Here is a 21437-nt window from a genome sequence, read left to right on the forward strand (position 1 = left end):
CTTACCAGACACTACATCTGCCAGCACTTGAACTTGGACTTCCCAGCCTCCAGAACTGTGAAAACTACATGTGTGCTGTTCAAGCCACCCAGCCTATGGCAATGTATTACAGCATCCCCAGGTGACTAAGACAGTACAGCACTTTCTCAACCATACATCAGGGTTATGAAATAATTAGGACACTATGGCAGTAGCAGAAAGATAAACCAAAGAAATATGGGAAATTCTGAAACCAGGGCATCTATGTAGGGTATGTGAACCTATGACAGAGCAGGTATGGTCAGTCAGGGACAGAAACGACGGACAGTTAAACCCCAGCAGCAGTGATAACCCATCTTCTGCCATCATCTCCACATAATGTTGTGAATTCAGTGTAGAGCTGTCTATTGCAGTGAATTCTTAAAATTGTATGCTACCTCAGAAGCCACTTTGAATATGGCTTTAACTTTCTCATACCAGAAGCAGGGCTTAGTCACCCTTAATACAGTTTCCAGTTCTACGCCTCCTCCCATTTCCTCCATGTGGTCAATCCAGTTATCTGCCTTACACAGCCGCCTCCCTGTGACCACCTCCGCATGAGACGGCTAGATACAAACTGCTGGAAATCATCCAACTGACCCTACACAAGGAATGCACAGAGAGGCTGCAGGGACCACCTCTCAGTCACCATGTGACTCCACGAAATTCCCATCTGGTTGCTCTAAACTCACCAACTAGAACTCCCACAGAGTCTCCAATAAAGGCATCTGCCCAGATTCCTCTGTCTTGCTCCCTGGTTAGGTGTGTATATCAGGTCTGAAACAGCCACCCTCTTCCTGTTGGCCTACAAGGAGAACTATCCTTTCTCTCTGGGATCTATTACCTAGCAGCCTGTTTCACCCACAGTCACAAGGAAACCCACATTCAGAAGGTTAAACAAGCCTGAGGACCATTCATGTGAAGATGTGGCCCACTCCTAAGAGATGAGTGAGGGAGCCGGGTGTGGTGGCTCATGCTTGTAATCCCAGCACTTTGGGAGGCCAAGGCGGGTGGATCACCTGAGGTCAGGAGTTTGAGACCAGCCTGGCCAACACGGAGAAACCCCCCGTCTCTACTAAAAATACAAAAAATTAGCTGGGCGTGGTGGCGCATGCCTATAATCCCAGCTACTCAGGAGGCTGAGGTAGGAGAATCACTTGAACCCAGGAGGCGGAGGTTGTGGTGAGCCAAGATCGCACCATTGCACTCCAGCCTGGGCAACAAGAGCAAAATTCCGTCTCAAAAAAAAAAAAAAAAAAAAGAAATGAGTGAGGGAAACATCCTGGGAGCTCCACGCACCCTACTCTCCTCTCCTCATGATGTGATTCACGGTCTCGATTCTCACCAGTGACCAGATGTTTACCTGGAGTCAGTTTAAGGTTCTGACCTCTGGTGTCCTTTCTGTGACACCCGAAGTGTAAACACCGACCAGTTCTAACAGCAGGTGTCTAACAGTTCAGTTCTGACACCACTCAGAATTAGGACAGACCTACAAGTTCAGGGCTCAGTCTCACAACATGCCAGTTCACATGCCAGTCACAAGCCGCAGGGCCACCCACACTTCTGAACAACTGTGTACAAATCGTGAGCTCCCATAATCTCCTCCTCGGGTTCAATAATTTGCTAAAACTATTCAAAGAACTTAGCAAAACATGTTACTTAAGTATAACTCAGGAACAGGCAAATAAGAGCTGAAAAATGGCAGGGAAAGGGGGGTGGATATAGGCAACGCTCCTCATCTTGGGGTGCACCACCCTCCCAGCACATCAATGTCCTCATCAACCTGGAAGTACTCTCTGAATGTCTTTGCTCAAAAATTTTTACACAACTCAATCTCCAGCCTCCACTCTTTCCTGGGGTAGGGAATGGAGCTTAAAGCAACAACCCTCTAGTCATGGGTTTGGTCTTTCTGGTCACCAGTCTCCACTCTGAAAGTATCCAGGGGTTCCACAGAATCACCTCATTAGCTTAAAACTCAAGTATGGTCTGAAAGGGGATTGTTGTGAATAACAAAACACACTCCACCTATCACTTAGGGAATTCCAAGGGTTTTAGGATCCCTGTCCCAGGAACTGCAGACAAACACCAAATATATTTATTACACCACAGAAGCAAATACACTCGTAAATTCATAAACCTTTTCTCCAGCAGAAAGAAGCCAAAGGTGTCTTTCTCTAAGTCTGACCCTCACAGACATTTGCAGAAATTACACTCTGACTAAACCAACTCTGTGGATACAAAACCAAATTGCTGACAATGTTGAATTTTACCCAAGCTCTATAATCCTACAGAATAGCTATGATTAAAACACTCTCCACCACCACCACCACCCTTGGTGTTCCAGAGAAGCAGCATACTGCGGGGGAAAAAACCCTATTACTAATTTAGACGTCCTTTATTTTACCTATAAGAAAGCCAGACAGGCGGCTGGGTGCAGTGGCTCACGCCTGTAATCCCAGCACTCTGGGAGGCCGAGGTGGACGGATCACGAGGTCAAGAATCAAGATCATCCTGGCTAACACGGTGAAACCCCGTCTCTACTAAAAATACAAAAAAAAAATTAGCCAGGAATGGTGGTGGGCACCTGTAGTCCAGGCTACTCGGGAGGCTGAGGCAGGAGAATGGCGTGAACCCAGGAGGTGGAGCTTGCAGTGAGCCAAGATCGCGCCACTGCACTCCAGCCTGGGTGACAGAGCAAGACTCTGTCTCAAAAAAGAAAAAACAAAACAGACTCTCCAAATTCCCATTGTTTACTTCATAAACAATTGGCTGGACAGTTTTGTCTTCACTGATCAGTCAAAACAAAATATCTCTAAATCCAACCTTAATGGTTAAGTTTCTCTCCTCCTTTCAGCCCTGAACTTTGACCCATCCTCCACAGCCTAAGGAAGCACCCACCCAATCCCTCCTTTATAAACCATCCTAAAAACAGACTAACCTCAGGAAAAATATTCTCTGACCTAGGATCCGATTTTGCACTTTCCACTCTGCCCTCTCCTCCCACCTATTCCTAATCTTATTTGTTCCTCCCCATGAATGAAAAACTTTTTTAGGGGAAGAGGAGGGGAGACAGGGTCTTGCTCTGTTGTCCAGGCTAGAGTACAATGCCAGAATCATTGCTCACTGGAGCCTTGATCTTCTGGGCTCAAGGGATCCTCCCACCTCAGCCTCGGCTGGGACTATAGGTGTGCACCACCACAATTTTTTTTAATTTTGTAGAGAGATGGTCTTACTATGTGTACAGGTTAGTCTCAAACTCCTGACCTCAAGCAATCCTCCTGTTTCGGCCTCCCAAAGTGCTGGGATTATAGATGTAAGCCGCCACTTCCACCAGAAAAGCCTTTTTCTGCCTAACCTCTGGGATGCTTGCAGATCTTGTATCTACTGCTTTCACCTTTTCGTTATACTCCTTTCACATAAAGTCACTTCTTACCTAACTCCGGATTTCTTGTATTTGAGGATGTCTAGAAACAACTCTCTCAAATCATGGGAGCCCATGGTTTACTGTTATTATCTGAACAATTAACTATTACAACCTCAGACAGGGTATCACCCTCCCAACTATGCCTATGTGTGCATCCCCAGCTTCCCAGTGGTCTGTAGCTTCTCTCAGTATAAAGGACCCCTCCCCTGGTTGGAGTGATAAGGCTGGGATGCCTGCCAAGTTCTACCCAGGAAGAACCAACTGGGACTTCAATGACCTCCCTTTGCAGGCTCTTAGTTGGGAGTCACTCTGAGGCACACTTGGCCTCAGACCTCTGCTTCCTTAGACAAGACTATATTCACTTACTTTTTTTTTTTTTTTTTGAGACTGAGTTTCACTCTTGTTGCTCAGGCTGGAGTGCAGTGGCACGATCTCGGCTCACCGCAACTTCCGCCTGCTGGGTTCAAGCAATTCTCCTGCCTCAGCCTCCCGAGTAGCTGGGATTACAGGCATGCGCCACCATGCCCGGCTAATTTTGTATTTTTAGTAGAAACAGGGTTTCTCCATGTTGGTCAGGCTGGTCTCAAACTCACCTCAGGTGATCCACCCACCTCAGCCTCCCAAAGGGCTGGGATTACAGGCATGAGCCACCACGCCCAGTTTCACTTATTTTTAAGTAAGAAAATATCCTGTGTTTGAAGAATCCAGCAAAATCACTCAAACTTACCATTTATGTATATAGGAGGAAAGGAAACTGTAAGACATTTGTATTCTTTTTTTTTTTTTTTTTGAGACGGAGTCTAGCTCTGTCGCCCAGGCTGGAGTCCAGTGGCACGATCCCGGCTCACTGCAACCTCCGCCTCCCGGGTTCACGTCATTCTCCTGCCTCAGCCACCCAGCAGCTGGGACTACAGGCACACACCGCCACACCCGGCTAATTTTTGTATTTTTAGTAGAGACCGGGTTTCACTGTGTTAGCCAGGATGGTTTCCATCTCCTGACCTTGTGATCCGCACACCTTGGCCTCCCAAAGTGCTGGGATTAAAGGCGTGAGCCACCGTGCCCGGCCAATTTTTTGTATTTTTTAGTAGAGACGGGGTTTCACCATGTTAGCCAGGATGGTCGCGATCTCCTGACCTCGTGATCCACCTGCCTTGGTGCTGGGATAACAGGCGTCAGCCATCGCGGCTGGCAAGACATTTGTATTCTATAGCTTAAACATGAAAAGCACATTTATCTATCCCTTTCAGACAATAGAGACCTCACATTATTGTTACTTCCATGACAACTTCTTTACTAATATTTAATTCACTAATATTTAATATTTCAAAGTCCCATCTGATAGGATTTAGCATTAATCACCAAAGTCCAGATGAAAGGATACAGAACAGTTATCCATTACGACAAAATCTCTACCCTGCAAAGGAGAAGATATTTTAGAGAATCTCTGTATTTCACCAATTAATGTGGAAATGTATTCGTTTCTCTGTAGCCATAATGGAAGACTGAATTTCCCTACTTATCTGAGATTCTTATCCGCAGTAGCATTCTCAAGGCTAAGTTCTGGGATTGATCTGAAATCACCCAAAAGAAGAAAATAGACCTGAGAAACCTACCATACATGTTGCGGAGAGGAAACTACACAAATAAGATTTTTTAACAAATTGAATGTAAGACTAGATAATTGTTTTCCCTCAAATCTACTTTCTGCCTCTTTCTCCCCTTTGTGACCCTCCCTTTGCAAACACTTTATCTTGTCTTTCAAGCACTACTGATAAAATACATTCTACATTTAATGAAAAACAGGATCAAATAAGCAAATAAACCTTTTCAAGGGTTTACAAACCCAGGGAGAGGCAATGCTGACCTGGAATACAGACATTTATCTGATTCCAATGTCAGGTGAGGTCACCCTATCCCCTAGGACATCTCCCAGCCCCACCCTGGCTCACTGAGTGCTCAGTGACCAACCTCCCTGAAGACAGTGAATTGTGCCCTGCTCACTCTGCCCCAAGCGCATTTTAACTTTCAGGTTCTCGCACCATTTCAATGGGGCAGGTTTTCCTTCTCCTTTGAGATAGTTTTCCTCCCTTCACTAGACTAAAAACAATCCAGAGGTCAGGAATCATTTGTGTCTTTTCCTCTCAGTAACAGCCTAAGATTGGGTAACCATCAATGTGTCCCTAAGGAACGGAAACTGGGGTTGAGGAAGAAAAGCTGAGCGTCCCAAAGGGTAAACTTTTCAGAGGAAGGGGATACCGGGAGACTCCTCCCACCTCAGGGCATACAGCTGCTCCCGTGAGAGGCCCCACCCCTACACCTTAAGCTGTCCTCTGGGAGGAGTGACCCAGGGGTTGATAATCACTAGATCCTCCAAGAGAAGTGGCAGCTGTGGGTATCCTGGGTCAGGCCCAGGCAGTTCTGAAAATCAGGACCAGGAAAAGATAGAGGGCCACATCACCTTGTAAAGTTTCCAAAGGGGAAACTCCACCCAAAGACATTCTGATTAGGCGTCGGGGCTTAGGAAAGATAAAAGGAGGGGAAGCACAAAAATTTTTTTACCACGGCCGGGCGCGGTGGCTCACGCCTGTAATCCCAGCACTTTGGGAGGCCGAGGCAGGCGGATCACCTGAGGTCGGGAGTTCGAGACCAGCCTGGCCAACATGGAGAAACCCTGTCTCTACTAAAAATACAAAATTAGCCGGGCATGGTGGCGCATGCCTGTAATCCCAGTTACACGGGAGGCTGAGGCAGGAGAATCGCTTGAACCCAGGAGGTGGAGGTTGCAGTGAGCTGAGATCGCGCCATTGCACTCCAGCCTGGGCAATAAGAGCGAAACTCTGTCTCAAAAAAAAAAAAAAATTTTACCGTAGAGTGTCAGGTTCTTATTCTCCGTTTCCCTCTCAGGTTACAAGTACACAAACAAGAGGCCGGGCGCGGTGGCTCACGTCTGTAATACCAGCATTTTGGGAGGCGGAGGTGAGCGGATCACCTGAGGTCTGGAGTTTGAGACCAACCTGGCCAACATGGAGAAACCCAGTTTCTACCAAAAATACAAAAAGTAGCCGGTCGTGGCGGCGCATGCCTGTAATCCCAGTTACTCAGGAGGCTGAGGCAGGAGAATTGCTTGAACCCGGAAGGCGAAGGTTGCAGTGAGCTGAGATCTTCCCACTGCACTCCAGCCTGGGCGACAGAGCGAAACTCTGTCTGAAAAGAAAAAAAAAACAACAAACAGAAAACAAATCCTTTCAAAAGAGTATGGTGAAAGAAACTATAAACAACTAAAATACTGTGTCTTAAATGTCAAACAAAAAACAGCTGATAATGTTGATTTGGCGAGGGGAGGTCACCTTTGGGAATGCGGGGAAGGAACCGGAAATTTAGGCATTTATTTCCAGCCCCAGAAAAAGCTAGGCTAAAAAAAACGGGAGTCGTAGGTTTGAGATTCTTTTTCCAGTACGTTTGGAAGACTCGGAGGAAGACCAGTCCCCCGGAAAAAAAGACGATGTACTGGGAAGGCCACAGCCCACAGCTCTTCCCATGCACGAACCGCACACCCGAGACGGGATTCCGCCTTATGACCCTCCCGTGTCCCAGTACAAACAATCTGGAGAGAGGCGGGGCTGCGGGCGCGGAGCTGCCCAGACAGGGCTCCGAGGCCGAGGCCGCAGTCGCCGCGCAGGGACGGGACAGGACGCCTGGGGTACTGGCTACGGCCCAACCCACCCTGCGGCCGAGGGGACAGAGGGCCGAGCTGCGCCAGGGAACTCGGGTCCCAGACCCTGGAGTCGCTGCAGGGAGGCCAGGGTGCTTCCACAGCCGGTTCCGGCCGGTTCCCACAAGCCCCTCCCCCAGTCTCCAGGCGCCCGGCCCCGCACACGCACCATTTCCTGGCTTCCAGGGTGTCCCGGGGTCCTGCCTACGGCTCTCTCCGGCCTGTGCAGGTCCCAGCGCGCCAGACGCTGCGGTGGAGCCACCGGGGCCACTGGAGAAGCGGAGACCGGAACCCAAACGCAGCGGACACGAAACAGGAAGACCCCGCGGAGTTGTTGAACATTGCCCCTGTCCCCCTTGCAGAGTTCCTGATTGGATGGTTTGCAGGTTCCCGCCCCAGTGCCCCTGATTGGGTGATGATTCAAGTCCTGCCCCCTTGGTACTGAGTGACAGGAGAAGCAATGCGGTATGTGGCTGAGTAAAGACAGATTGACAGGGTCTTGGCCACTGCCCTTCGCGGGCCGGGCTTCCTCCTTCTGTAACCTTCTGTGCCGGGGAGGATATTTGCATTTAAGCAGAAAGTGTTTCAGGCTCTGCAGAGGTGACACTGGCGTGTTTCTGCACTCAGGGTGCCCTTCCTGCCTTTTCCTCCCGGACACAGAGTCACAAGTGTGCACAGGGAATGACAGACTCGGCGTCCAGTGGAGCCATCCCCTGGCCTCGGAGTAGGAGGCGCGCCCAGGCCAGGCCAGACCACAGTGTAACAGGAGGGAGGAGGGCTTGCTTCTTTCAGGCAAGAAAATTAAAACGGACAAAGAAATAAAAGTATTAAATGTATAGGAAAAACTGGAGTTTTTATGACAGCGATCATCTATAAAGAAACCAAGAGAAGTAAGCAAACATTTGAACTAGCTCAGACAAGCAGCCTGCTTCACCCGCAGTTCACAAGGAAAACCCACAATCATAACGTTAAAAATATTCCCAAGCGCCGGGCGCGGTGGCTCACGCCTGTAATCCCAGAACTTTGGAAGGCCAAGGTGAGAAAATTGCTTAAGGTCAGGAGTTCAAGACCAGCCTAACCAACATGGTGAAACCCCATCTCTACTAAAAATACAAAAATTAGCCAGGCGTGGTGGCAGGTGCCTGTAATCCCAGCAACTCGGGAAGCTGAGGTACGAGAATCGCTTGAACCTGGGAGGGGGAAGTTGCAGTGAGCCGAGATAGCGCCATTGCACTCCAGCCTGGGCGACAGAGCGAGACTAAAAAATGAAATATGAAATGAAATGAAATAATGAAATGAAGAAATGAAATATAAAATAAAATAATCCCAAGCTTGGGACCCAGACTCTAACTGCTGAAATGGAACCCCAGTGTGGATCAGAACCTGGTGATGAGACAGGGACACTTAAGAATTCAACTTTGGGAGCTCAAGGTGCCCTCCAGTCCTCTCCTCACAGTGTGGAAACACTCTTTCCTTCAAAACCTTCATTTGTACCAGCAGGAAACTCTCACCCGGAGTCAATGTAAAGTCGTGACCTAAATAAATTGTCATGTTCCCAAACCTTTTCTCCAGGGGACAATGCAAACAAGTTTTTCACTGAGTCTGACCCTCACAGATTTTCTTCATGTATACAAATTACAGCCTGACTCAGCGACCCCATGAATGCTAAAACCAAAACACTGTCCAGGAAATGGCCCCAGGCGCCAAAGGTACAACCTCAGAAAAGACAGAACCCTCCACCCCCAACCCAACCACATCTGCACATGGGTCTCCTGCTTTTCACAGCTCTGCAGCTTCTCAGAATCCACATTCCTGGCCAGGCGCGGTGGCTCACGCCAGCACTTTGAGAGGCCCAGGCGGGCGGATCACCTGAGGTCAGGAGTTCGAGACCAGCCTGGCCAAATGGTGAAACCTCGTCTATAGTAAAAATACAAAAATTAGCCGGGCGTGGTGGCGCGTGCCTGTAATCCCAGCCACTCGGGAGGCTGAGGCAGGAGAACCGCTTGAACCCGGGAGGCAGAGGTTGCAGTAAGCCCAGACTGCGCCACTGCACTCCAGCCTGGGTGCCAAAACAGTGAGACTCTGCCTCAAAAAAATAATAAAAGTAAAAAATAAAATTAAAATTAAAAAAAGAATCTGCACTCCTGAGCAGCTGGAGGCCACCTGCAAGGGCGGGCAGGCTGCCCAAGAAGCACCCTTTCCCTCTCTTTGCAGGCTCCAGACTGGTCTCAGGCTCTCCTGCCCACTGCAGTTTATTCACTTGCTTCTCACCAACACTGATCCACTTAGGTAAGAAAAAAGACCTTCAATCCCCTTTGCTGTTTGTTTGTTTTTAAGAAACTAGCAGAGTTCCTGCTTTCCTTCTGTGGTTATGTATAAGCTGGAAGACAAAAAATTCTAAAATACTTTATATGGATTTTAAAACTGGCAAGTAATGATTCCTTTGAGAAAACAAAGATATCAGCTATGCTATTATGATTTATACATTGGTTTCCATCCATGCTTCCTGACTCATAACTCCCATAGTCCTTGTTACAGTAAACAGAAACTCTCTCTCTCTGACCTTCTCCTGCCCCCCATTCACCTGTCCACTGCAGAACTCTAATGTGATCGTGGGTCATAAGACTCTCACTCCAAAGAGTGTCCTGTCCTGTACGCTGGGGAAAGGAATGCTACACAGAAGCCAAAAATTATCTGGACAGGGGTTGGATGCAGTGGTTCACGCCTGTAATCCCAGCACTTTGGGAGGCTGCGGAGGGAGGATTGCTCGAGCCCAGGAATTCAAGACCAGCCTGGGAAAGATGTCGAGACCCCATCTCTATGAAAAATAAATAAAAAGGCCGGACGCGGTGGCTCATGCCTATAATCCCAGCACTTCAGGAGGCTGAGGTGGGCGGATCATGAGGTCAAGAGATCGAGACCCTCCTGGCCAACATGGTGAAACCCCCGTCTCTACTAAAAATACAAAAATTAGCTGGGCGTGGTGGCGCGTGCCTGTAGTCCCAGCTACTTGTAGTCCCAGCTACTTGGGAGGCTGAGCCAGGAGAATCACTTGAACCCAGGAGGCAGAGGTTGCAGTGAGCCGAGATCACTACTGCACTGCAGCCTGGCCGACAGAGTGAGACTCCGTCTCAGAAAAAAATATTTTTCTTTTTATGTATTATTATTATTATTTTGAGACGGAGTCTTGCTCTGTCGCCAGGCTGGAGTGCAGTGGCGAGATCTCAAGTTGCTCACTGCAACTTCCGACTCCTAGGGTTCAAGCGATTCTCCTGCCCCAGCCTCCTGAGTAGCTGGGATTACAAGTGTGTGCCACTAAGCCTGGCTAATTTTTGTATTTTTAGTAGAGATGGGGTTTCACCATATTGGCCAGACTGGTCCTGAGCTCCTGACATCAAGAGATCCACCCGCCTCCGCCTCCCAAAGTGATGGGATTACAGGCAAGAGCCACTGTGCCCAGCCTAATAATTTTTTGTCTCCTTTCTTTAAAACTGTTTTAGGTGTGGCGTCACATGGCGTGGCAGCACATGGTGTGGTGGTACATGCCTGTAATCCCAGCTACTCAGGAGGCTGAGGCAGGAGAATCATTGAACCCACCAGGCAGAGGTTGCAGTGAGCCGAGATCTTGCCACTGCACTTCAGCCTGGGTGACAGAGCAAGACCCTGTCGAAAGAAAGAAAGAAAGAGAGGGAGGGAGGGAGGGGGAGAGAGAGAGAAAGAAAAAGAAAGAAAGAGAGAGGAGAGGAGAGAAAAGAAAGAGAGAAAGAGGGAGGGCCGGGTGCAGTGCGGTGGCTCACGCCTGTAATCCCAGCACTTTGGGAGGCCGGGGTGGGTGGATTGCCTGAGCTCGGGAGTTCGAGACCAGCCTGGCCAACATGGCGAAATCCCGTCTCTACTAAAAATACAAAAAATTAGCTGGGCGTGGTGGCGGGCGCCTGTACTCCCAGCTACTCGGGAGGCTGAGGCACGAGAATCACTTGAACCTGGGAGGTGGAGGTTGCAGTGAGTCAAGATCGTGCCACTGCACTCCAGCCTGGGTGACAGAGTGAGACTCCATCTCAAAAAAAAAAAAAAAAAGAGAGAGAGAAAGAAAGAAGGGAGGGAAGGAAAGAGAGAGAAAGAGAAAGAAGAAGGAAGGAAGAAAGAAAGAAAGGAAGGAAGGAAGGAAGGAAGGATTATACCAGTGCTGGGGAGGACATAAGAGAAACTGGATTCTACTCCTACTCCTACTCCTACTTTGGTGGTGGAAATGTAAAATGGTACAGAGAGCGCGGTGAGACGCAGAGTGCGGCCGGCTTGCCGAGTCCCAAGCAGGCAGGTGAGCTGGAGGGCGGGGATGTCCCGGGACAGGCCGCGGCCCCTGCCCCGCAGACACCGGGGCCCTCGCTGTGCCGGGCACAGACGAAGCCCCAGCCGAGACGCAGCGCCTCCAGGTGGCTGCGGGAGCGGCGGGCGGGAAGCGGGGCGGTCGCGATGGGGCGTCAGGGTGCAGAGGGCCCTGGAGGCGGTCTAGGGACACAGGCTCGGCCGCCTTGCTTTAGACCAGGAAGCCGCGCAGATCCGGGACCTGGGGGACCTCTCTGTCCCAGTGGGGCGAGACCTACCTAGCCCTGACGATAGCGGAGAATAGCCTTAACCGGCCTGGAAGGTGAACGAGTCCCCTGACTACGAGTGGAACGATTAGCGGCCATGCGGCTGTTCGCCTTCGTTCTACCAGACCTTCATGTGGAAGAGAGAAATGGTAAAATGGCCTGGCACATGTGGTCCTGGGAAATCCCCAGCACCCTTTGGGAAGATTTACTGACCGTCTATAGAAGGCCTGTGTAGGCCAGGCACGGTGGTGGCTCACGCCTGTAATCACAGCACTTTGGGAGGCCAAGGCGGATGGATCACCTGAGGTCGGGAGTTCAAGACCAGCCTGACCAACATGGTGAAACCCGGTCTCTACTAAAAATACAAAAATTAGTCGGGCGTGGTGGCGGACGCCTGTAATCCCAGCTTCTCGGGAGGCTGAGGCAGGAGAATCACTTGCAGTGAGCCGAGCTCGCACCATTGCACTCTAGCCTGGGCAACAAGAGTGAAACTCCAGCTCAAAAAAAAAAGAAGAAGAAGGCCTGTGTCTATAATAGGAAAAAGCTGCTCAACTTCTCCCTCAACCTAAAATTTTTTTTATTTATTTAATTTTATTTGTTTGAGACAGAGTCTTTCTCTGTTGCCCAGGCTGGAGTGCAGTAGCGCAATCTTAGCTCACTGCAACCTCCGCCTCCCGGGTTCAAGTGATTCTCCTGCCTCAGCCTCCCAAGTAGCTGGTACTACAGGCCACACCACCACGCCCGGCTAATTTTTATATTTTTAGTAGACGGGGTTTCACTATGTTGGTCAGGCTACTCTCGACCCCCTGACCTCGTGATCCGCCCGCCTCAGCCTCCCAAAGTGCTGGGATTACAGGCGTGAGCAACCGCTCCCGGGTTTGTTTGTTTTGTTTGTTTGTTTGTTTTGAGACAGAGTCTCACTCTGTCGCTCAGGCTGGAGTGCAATGGCAGGATGTCAGCTCACTGCAACCTCCACGTCGCGGGTTCAAGTGATTCTTCTGCCTCAGCCTCCCAGGCAGCTGGGATTACAGGCACCCACCACCACGCCCCACTAATTTTTTTGTATTTTTGTAGAAATTGGGTTTCACCACATTTGCCAGGCTGGTCTCAAACTCCTGACCTCAGGTGATCTGCTGGCCTCAGCCTCCCAAACTGCTGGGATTACAGGTGCAAGCCAAGGCGCCTGGCCTTTCCTAGGAATTTTAAAACAAAATATGCAAAATATATTCATTTACGAACTCTACATTTGTCATTGCACTCCAGCCTGGGCAACAAGAACGAAACTCCGTCTCAAAAATAAATAAATAAATAAATAAAAATAAAAAATAAAATTCCTATGAAATATTGTCTTCTGAAAATTTGAGCATTTTTGCCCACTGGGTTGATGGAGACAGAAAGGGTTCTAGGCCAGAATGTTCATATTTGGAAGACTTTCAAATTATAACTGTTGTCACATGTTTGCAGTTTATTCAAGACTGCTGTTACATAGTGGAAAAATTAACTCCTTACTTCAAATGTCTAGTCTACCTAGATGTTTGGAAGTGTCCCACGTATATTAAATATAGAGGTAGTGAAATATCACTGTAAATATCTTTTTGTTAAAATTTATAGGAAACACTGCCTTTTGGAAATTGAATTGTTTAACCACCTTTGTGAGCAGTGTAGTACTGTGTATAGTTGTTCGATAGTTTAGAGGAGGTGGGAGGGAAGAAATTGCAAAAGGTAATAGGCCAGTGTGTTCATAATTGGACATTTTCAGACACTATTTTTCTGTATGTTTTGTGCATTTTGTTTTGCTCTGTATATAGCATATACAATGGGCAAATGCATCCTGATTTTGCAACATCTAATTGCTGGATGTTAAAGAGGTTGCCAGTGTGTGATAAAGTACTTAGTAAATTTAGCATATTTTGTATACTTTGTGTTGAAATTCATAGGAAACTTGTCTTCTGTGGATGACTTTTGGATAGGAGTTTGTTCAACCATCTCTAAGCATTACACATGCGTGTACTTGTCCACTGGATTGAAAGCAGAGAGAAGGAAGTGAGGAGGGAATGGTTCAAGGCCAAAATGGTCATATTTAGGAGATACCTCAGATTATAACCACGGTTACATGTGTGGAATTTTATTTAACAGTGCGTGTACATGGTGGACAAGTTAGATGAAATATCTAGTATTTCTAGATATTTGGAAGTGCTTCATGTATTTAAAAGTAGTAGTAGCATAACACTGTTTTTTGTTTTTGTTTTTGTTGAGACGGAGTCTCACTCTGTCACCCAGGCTGGAGTGCAGTGGCACGATATCGGCTCATTGCAACCTCCGCCTCCTGGGCTCAAGCAATTCTCCTGCCTCAGCCTCCTGAGTAGCTGGGATTACAGGGGTGCACCACCATGCCCAGCTACCTTTTGTGTTTTTAGTAGAGACAGGGTTTCACCATGTTGGCTAGGCTGGTCTTGAACTCCTGACCTCAGATGATCCACCCACCTAGGCCTCCCAAAGTGCTTGGATTACAGGCATGAGCCACTGCGCCCGGCAAATAATACTTTTTGTAAATAACTTTTAAAAACTGATGGGGCTGGGGCCAGGCACGGTGGCTCACGCCTGTAATCCCAGCACTTTGGGAGTCCAAGGCAGGTGGATCACGAGGTCAGGAGATCGAGACCATCCTGGCTAACATGGTGAAACCCTGTCTCTACTAAAAATACAAAAAATTAGCCAGGCGTGGTGGTGGGTGCCTGTAGTCCCAGCTACTTGGGAGGCTGAGGCAGGAGAATGGCGTGAACCTGGGAGACGGAGCTTGCAGTGAGCTGAGACTGCGCCACTGCACTCCAGCCTGGGTGACAGAGCGAGACTGTGTCTCAAAAAAAAAAACAAAAAAAAAAAAACAACTGATGGGGCACAGTGGCTCACGCCTGTAATCCCAACACTTTGGGTGGCTGAGGCTGGTGAATCATTTGAGGTCAGGAGTTCCAGAACAGCCTGGCCAACATGGCGAAACCCTGTCTCTACTGAAAACACAAAAAGTAGCTAGGCTTGGTGGTGAGTGCCTGTAATCCCTCAGCTACTCAGGAGGCTGAGGCACGAGAACCGCTTGAACCCAGGAGGCAGAGACTGCAGTGAGCTGAGATCGTGCCACTGCACTCCAACCTAGGTGACAGAGTGAGACTCTGTCTCAAAAAATAAAAAAAGAAAAAAAACTGGTGGGAAATACTCTTTGGAAGTAGAATTGTTGAACCACCTCTGTGAACAGTGTACTCTCTGTACTTGTTCATTGGGTTGACGGAGGTGGGTGAGATGAAATTTCCTGATTAGGACATTGTACTACAGCTATGCAACATGTTACCATTGAGAGAAAATGGCTGTATAATTTCCTACATGTGAATATGCAATGACCTCAAAATAAATTTTTGTTAAAAAGTACACCACTGGCCAGGTGCGGTGGCTCACGCCTGTAATCCCAGCACTTTGGGAGGCCGAGGTGGGTGGATCAGGAGGTCAGGAGATGGAGACCATCCTGGCTAACATGGTGAAACCCCGTCTCTACTAAAAATACAAAAAATTTGCCGGGTGTGGTGGCGGGAGCCTGTAGTTCCAGCTACTCGGGAGGCTGAGGCAGGAGACTGGCGTGAACCCAGGAGGCAGAGCTTGCAGTGAGCGGAGATCGCACCACTGCACTCCAGCCTGGGCAAGAGAGCGAGACTCCATCTCCAAAAAAAAAAAGTATACCACTGGATTCTGCAAACCTCCCGAGCACACGTCGGTAGCCGGCTCCCTGGCTGTCTGAATTACCAAGCTGTCTCCCCAGCTGTATTTCCAAAATGTCGCTTTCTAACAAGCTGATGCTGGACAAGCTGGACGTGAAAGGGAAGCCGGTCGTTATGAGAGTCGACTTCAATTTTCCTATGAAGAACAACCAGGTAACAAACAACTGGAGGATTAAGGCTGCTGTCCCAAGCATCAAATTCTGCTTGGACAATGGATCCAAGTCAGTAGTCCTTATAAGCCACCTAGGTTGGCCTGATGGTGTCCCTATGCCTGACAAGTACTCCTCAGAGCCAGTTGCTGTAGAACTCAAATCTCTGCTGGGCAAGGATGTTCTGTTCTTGAAGGACTGTGTAGGCCCAGAAGTGGAGAAAGCCTGTACCAACCCAGCTGCTGGGTCTGTCATCCTGCGGGAGAACCTCCGCTTTCATGTGGAGGAAGAGGGAAGGGAAAAGATGCTTCTGGGAACAAGGCTAATGCTGATCCAGCCAAATTAGAAGCTTTCCAAGCTTCACTTCCCAAGCTAGGGGAAGTCTATGTCAATGATGCTTTTGGCACTGCTCACAGAGCCCACAGCTCCATGGCAGAAGTCAATCTGCCACAGAAGGCTGGTGGTTTTTTGATGAAGAAGGAGCTGAACTACTTTGCCGAGGCCTTGGAGAGCCCAGAGCGACCCTTCCTGGCCATCCTGGGCAGAACTAAAGTTGCAGACAAGATCCAGCTGATCAAGAACATGCTGGGCAAAGTCAATGAGATGATTATTGGTAGTGGAATGGCTTGTACCTTCCTTAAGGTGCTCAGCAACATGGAGATTGGCACTTCTCTGTTTGATGAAGAGGGAGCCAAGACTGTCAAAGACCTAATGTCCAAAGCTGAGAAGAATGGTGTGAAGATTATCTTGCCTGTTGACTTTGTCACTGCTGGCAAGTTTGATGAGAATACCAAGACTGGCCAAGCCACTGTGGCTTCTGGCATACCTGCTGGCTGGCTGGGCTTGGACTGTGGCCCTGAAAGCAGCAAGAAGTATGCTGGGGCTGTCACTCAGGCTAAGCAGATTGTGTGGAATGGTCCTGTGGGGTTTTTTGGGGTTTTTTGTTTGTTTGTTTTTTGAGATGGAGTCTCACTCTGTCACCCAGGCTGGAGTGCAATGGCGCGGTCTTGGCTCACTGCAACCTCCACCTCCCTGATTCAAGTGATTCTCCTGCCTCAGCCTCCCCAGTAGCTGGGACTACTGGTGCGTGCCACCACGCCCGGCTAATTTTTGTATTTTTAGTAGAGACCGGTGTTTCACCATGTTGACCAGGCTGGTCTCGAACTACTGACCTCATGATCTGCCCACCTCGGCCTCCCAAAGTGCTGGGATTACAGGCATGAGCCACCGCGCCCGGCCTTCTGTAGGGGTTTTTGAATGGGAAGCTTTTGCCCGGGGAACCAAAGCCCTCATGGATGAGGTGGTGGAGACACTGCCACTTGCTGTGTAGAATGGAACATGGAGGATAAAGTCAGCCAGGTGAGCACTGGGGGTGGTGCCGGTTTAGAGCTCCTAGAAGGTAAAGTCCATCCTGGGGTTGATACTCTTGGCAATATTTAGTACTTTCCTGCCTTTTAGTTCCTGTGCACAGCCCCTAAGTCAACTTAGCATTTTCTGCATCTCCACTTGGCATTAGCTAAAACTTTCCATGTCAAGATTCAGCTAGTGGCCAAGAGATGCAGTGCCGGGAACCCTTAAATGGTTACACAGAATCTCAGCTCATCTCTACTGCAAAAATTCAAAAAGTGAGGTGAGAGGATCGCTTGATCCTGGGAGGTTGAGGCTGCAATGAGCCATAATCTTGCCACTGCACTACCTGGGAGTGACACCCTGTCTCGAAACAACAACAACAACAACAACAAACTGGCACTCCACATTCAAAGGGAAGAGAATTAAACTCCATTTAAAGGGACTAAACGTTTCTGTCTCCCACCTCCAATAAATTAATATAATAAATCCCTACTCTCCAGTGTGCTGGTATTTGCAGATGGGGCCTCTGGGAGATAATTGGTGAGGTCTTGAGGGTGGGGCACGCATGATGGAATGAGTTACCTTATAAGAAGAGACACCAGGGCCGGGCGCGGTGGCTCCCGCCTGTAATCCCAGCACTTTGGGAGGCCGAGGTGGGTGGATCATGAGGTCAGGAGATCGAGACCATTGTGGCTAACACTGTGAAACCCCATCTCTACTAAAACTACAAAAAATTAGCCGGGCATGGTGGCGGGCACCTGTAGTCCCAGCTACTTGGGAGGCTGAGGCAGGAGAGTGGCGTGAACCCAGGAGGCGGAGCTTGCAGTAAGCCGAGATCGCGCCACTGCACTCCAGCCTGGGCCACAGAGTAAGACTCTGTCTCAAAAAAAAAAAAAGAAGAGACACCAGGCTGGGCGTGGTGGCTCACACCTGTAATCCCAGCACTTTGGGAAGCTGAGGCAGGAGGATCCTTTGAGCCCAAGAGTTTGAGGTTGCAGTGAGCTATGATTGTGCCACAGCACTCCAGCCTGCGTGACAAAGCGAGACCCTGTCTCAATAATAATAATAATAGGCTGAGTGTAGTGGTTCACACCTGTAATCCCAGCATTTTGGGAGGCCTAGGTGGGCGGATCACCTGAGAACAGGAGTTCGAGACAGTCTGGCCAAAATGGTGAAACCCCATCTCTACTAAAGATACAAAAATTAGCCGGGCATGGTGGTGGGCACCTGTAATCCCAGCTACTTCGGAGGCTGAGACAGGAGAATCACTTGACCTCAGGAGGCAGAGGTTGCAGTGAGCCAAGATCGCACCACTGCACTTCATCCTGGACGACAGAGTGAGACTCTGTCTCAAATAATACTACTACTAATAAATAATAATAATAATGAAAAAACACCAGAGACCTCTCTTTCTCTCTGTCTTTCTCTCTGTCACCCCTATGCCCTCTTCCCAACTTGAGGACACAACCAGAAAGTAGCCATCTTTGAGCCAGGAAGAAAGCCCTCACCAAGAACAGAATCTACTGTCATTTTGACCTTGGACTTCATGGTGTCAAGAATCGTATTTTGTTATTGTATTTTGTTATTTTGTAATCGTATTGTATTTTGTTATAGTGGCTCAAGTAGAGTAAAAGACAGAAATGGCAAGAAAGTTAAACCCATCCCACTAGAGGTTTGTCATGGAGGGGACAGAGCGTTGGGTTTAGGCCTGAGCTTTGGAGTTGGAAAGAATTGAGTTCATACTTAGGCGGGGACCTTGAACAAGTCCCTTGAGTTCTCTAAACCTCAATAGCCCCTTCTGTAAAACGAAGATAATAAAGTTGTTGTGAGTGCACCTTGAAACTGCAAGACACATGTCTTAGCACCAGGTAGGCACTCAATAAATAGAGGTAGTGCTATTCTTTTTATTAATGTCTTTCTAGTTGGTCATGCTAATGATATAGTGGGACAGGCAGAACTGGGTCTTCAAGACTTCAGGTGCCAGGCTGAGGAGCTTGGACTTGCACTTGAGAGCACTAGGGAGCCATGGGAGGTGTGTGAGCAGGGAAGAGAGAGAAAAATGTCCCTTTGGTGCCGAGGTGAATGACTAGGAATTGAAGTTTGGGAGACCAAGGAGGACACTTTGACAGGTACCCAGGTGAGTGTCTAGACCTGGGTGGTGGCAATTGGGATGATGGGAGTGAGAAGAAATAAGTAGGTCAGGCTTGGTGGCTCATGCCTGTAATCCCAGCACTTTGGGAGGCCAAGGTGGGTGGATAACCTGCGGTCAGGAATTCAAGACCAGCCTGGCCAACATGGTGAAACCCTGTCTCTACTAAAAATACAAAAATTACCCAGGTGGGGCCAGGTGCAGTGGCTCACGCCTGTAATCCCAGCACTTTGGGAGGCCGAGGCGGGCAGATCACAAGGTCAGGAGTTCAAGACTGGGCTGACCGACATGGTGAAACTCTTGTCTCTACTAAAAATACAAAAATTAGCCAGGCGTGGTGGTGCGTGTCTGTAATCCCAGCTACTCGGGAGGCTGAGGCAGGAGAATTGTTTCAACCCGGGAAGTGGAGGTTGCAGTGAGCCGAGATCATGCTACTGCACTCCAGCCTGGGCAACAAGAGTGAAACTCTGTCTCAGAAAAAGAAAAAAAAAATTATCCAGGCATGGTGGCAGGTACCTGTAATCACAGCTGCCAGGGAGGCTGAGGCAGGAGAATCACATGAACCCGGGAGGTGAAGGTTGCAGTGAGCCGAGATCGCGCTACTGCACTCCAGCCTGGGTGACAGAGTGAGACTCCGTCTCAAAATAATAATAATAATAATAAATAAATAAATACATAAATAAGTAGTTAAGTAGTTCAAGATGAGTATTGGGTATAGGGCTTGAATGGTAGCTCCACGACCCAGGTCGGAAGTAGCAGTTAAGAGGGGTTGGGGTCGGGGTATCAATGTCAGTTTTCACTTTGCCTAGAATATTTTTTCTTGTTGTGTCTTCCTGAAATATTCTTACTGGTCTTTGGAGACACTGCCCAAAGATCCCTCCTCTGAGAATCTCCCTGGAACATGTGTGGTCCTGCAAAGCTGCTGCTCATGATGTTATCCTACAAACATCCAAATCCCGGCATATGAGTTTCTCTAGGGCAGTCTCTGGCTGGTTCCATTGTAGGATCTGTCCACGCCCTGCATATGCCTGGTACCAAAAAAGGAAACTGGGTCTGCAGGACGTTGCTGCAGTTCAGGCATTGGCCGCGTGGGGGCAGAAGTGCACAGGTCAAAGCGTCTGGAAAAAGCCCTCAGGCTGCAGGACCAGCAGAGCATCACCAAGGACGTCCCTGGTTGAGAACTACGTCTTTTTATTCGTTTTAAAGGGGCGCATAGGCACTAGGATCCAGTTTTGTCCACCTAACCCACCCACCCAGCGACACACGCCCCGCAGCCCATAGCTGGAGGATATTTACGCAAAACCTAAATCAGATCAGTCTTTCCTTTGCTCAGAACATTTTTTTTTTTTGAGGGACGGAGTCTTGCTCTGTCGCCCAGACTGGAGTGCAATGGTGCAATCTCGGCTTACTACAACCTCCACCTCCCAGGTTCATGTAACTCTCCTGCCTCAGCCTCCCGAATAGCTGGGATTACAGATGTGAGCCACCACGCCCAGCTAGTTTTTGTATTTTTAATAGAGACGGGGTTTCACCACGTTGGTCGGGCTGGTCTCGAACTCCTGACCTCAAGTGATCCACCCGCCTCGGCCTCCCAAAGTGCCGGGATTACAGGCATGAGCCATCGCGCCCAGCCTGCTCAGAACCATTTGTGGCTCCCACTTAACCCAGTGGGAGTGCTGAAATAACTTAAACATTTTACATGGCATTTACAAATGCGATATTTTATTCTTTAATCCTTTAAAATCTCTCCATCAATAAAACTCTTCAGAAGTCCTTACCAGTTGTTACAAATCTAAAATATAAATATACAAATAAGTGGTAATGTATGTTCTCTCAAACATTCTGACACTACTTCTACACTCAACCAAATTGTGATATACTTTTCCATTTAAAATTACCAGTCTTGGCCGGACGTGGTGGCTCACGCCTGTAATCCCAGTACTTTGGGAGGCCAAGGCGGGTGGATCAACTGAGGTCAGGAGTTCAAGACCAGCCTGGCCAACATGATGAAACCCCATCTCTACTAAAAATACAAAAAAGTTAGCCAGGTGTGGTGGCCGGTGCCTGTAATCTCAGTTACTTGGGAGGGTGAGGCAGGAGAATCGCTTGAGCCTGGGAGGCAGAGGTTGCGGTGAGCCGAGATCAAGCCATTACACTCCAGCCTGGGCAACAAAGCAAAACTCTGTCTTTTTTTTTTTTTTTTTTAAAGGAACCTCGCTCTGTTGCCAGGCTGGAGTGCAGTGGCGTGATCTCAGCTCTCTGCAACCTCCGCCTCC

At 48.7% G+C, this 21437-nt stretch overlaps 1 protein-coding gene, 1 long non-coding RNA gene and 1 pseudogene across 2 annotated transcripts in view, besides 6 other annotated features; 2 read left to right on the forward strand and 1 right to left on the reverse strand.

Annotated features, from left to right (window-relative positions):
- Window positions 1-7479, reverse strand: part of ZNF564 (zinc finger protein 564) — a 26110-nt gene extending 18631 nt beyond the window's left edge. Inside the window, exon 1 of the mRNA NM_144976.4 lies at window positions 7327-7479. Within this exon, the coding sequence (NP_659413.1) occupies window positions 7327-7329 (3 nt within the window). The 5' untranslated portion in view covers window positions 7330-7479. The remainder of the gene's footprint in view (window positions 1-7326) is intronic.
- Window positions 6116-6618: an enhancer, noted in NCBI's record as "H3K4me1 hESC enhancer chr19:12660933-12661435 (GRCh37/hg19 assembly coordinates)". NCBI's record gives its function as "activates a minimal SCP1, AML or CMV promoter by ChIP-STARR-seq in naive H9 embryonic stem cells {active_cell/tissue: H9 hESC(naive)}" and the evidence as "EXISTENCE:reporter gene assay evidence [ECO:0000049][PMID:30033119]".
- Window positions 6967-7046: a silencer, noted in NCBI's record as "silent region_10152". NCBI's record gives its function as "represses an Ori minimal core promoter by ATAC-STARR-seq in GM12878 lymphoblastoid cells {active_cell/tissue: GM12878}" and the evidence as "EXISTENCE:reporter gene assay evidence [ECO:0000049][PMID:35858748]".
- Window positions 7277-7386: an enhancer, noted in NCBI's record as "active region_14057". NCBI's record gives its function as "activates an Ori minimal core promoter by ATAC-STARR-seq in GM12878 lymphoblastoid cells {active_cell/tissue: GM12878}" and the evidence as "EXISTENCE:reporter gene assay evidence [ECO:0000049][PMID:35858748]".
- Window positions 7452-7746: an enhancer, noted in NCBI's record as "tiled region #88; HepG2 Activating non-DNase unmatched - State 1:Tss, and K562 Activating DNase unmatched - State 1:Tss". NCBI's record gives its function as "activates a minimal TATA promoter and a strong SV40 promoter by Sharpr-MPRA in HepG2 and K562 cells {active_cell/tissue: HepG2 | K562}" and the evidence as "EXISTENCE:reporter gene assay evidence [ECO:0000049][PMID:27701403]".
- On the forward strand, window positions 7723-9641 carry LINC02926 (long intergenic non-protein coding RNA 2926). The gene is made up of 2 exons (NR_187485.1): window positions 7723-8866; window positions 9372-9641. It is a non-coding gene; the product is annotated as a long intergenic non-protein coding RNA 2926 (long non-coding RNA).
- Window positions 8530-9031: an enhancer, noted in NCBI's record as "H3K4me1 hESC enhancer chr19:12663347-12663848 (GRCh37/hg19 assembly coordinates)". NCBI's record gives its function as "activates a minimal SCP1, AML or CMV promoter by ChIP-STARR-seq in primed H9 embryonic stem cells {active_cell/tissue: H9 hESC(primed)}" and the evidence as "EXISTENCE:reporter gene assay evidence [ECO:0000049][PMID:30033119]".
- Window positions 9032-9531: an enhancer, noted in NCBI's record as "H3K4me1 hESC enhancer chr19:12663849-12664348 (GRCh37/hg19 assembly coordinates)". NCBI's record gives its function as "activates a minimal SCP1, AML or CMV promoter by ChIP-STARR-seq in primed H9 embryonic stem cells {active_cell/tissue: H9 hESC(primed)}" and the evidence as "EXISTENCE:reporter gene assay evidence [ECO:0000049][PMID:30033119]".
- PGK1P2 (phosphoglycerate kinase 1, pseudogene 2) lies at window positions 15482-17275 on the forward strand (annotated as a pseudogene).

The sequence above is a fragment of the Homo sapiens genome, chromosome 19 (assembly GCF_000001405.40).
Source record: "Homo sapiens chromosome 19, GRCh38.p14 Primary Assembly".
Classification (NCBI taxonomy): domain Eukaryota; kingdom Metazoa; phylum Chordata; class Mammalia; order Primates; family Hominidae; genus Homo; species Homo sapiens.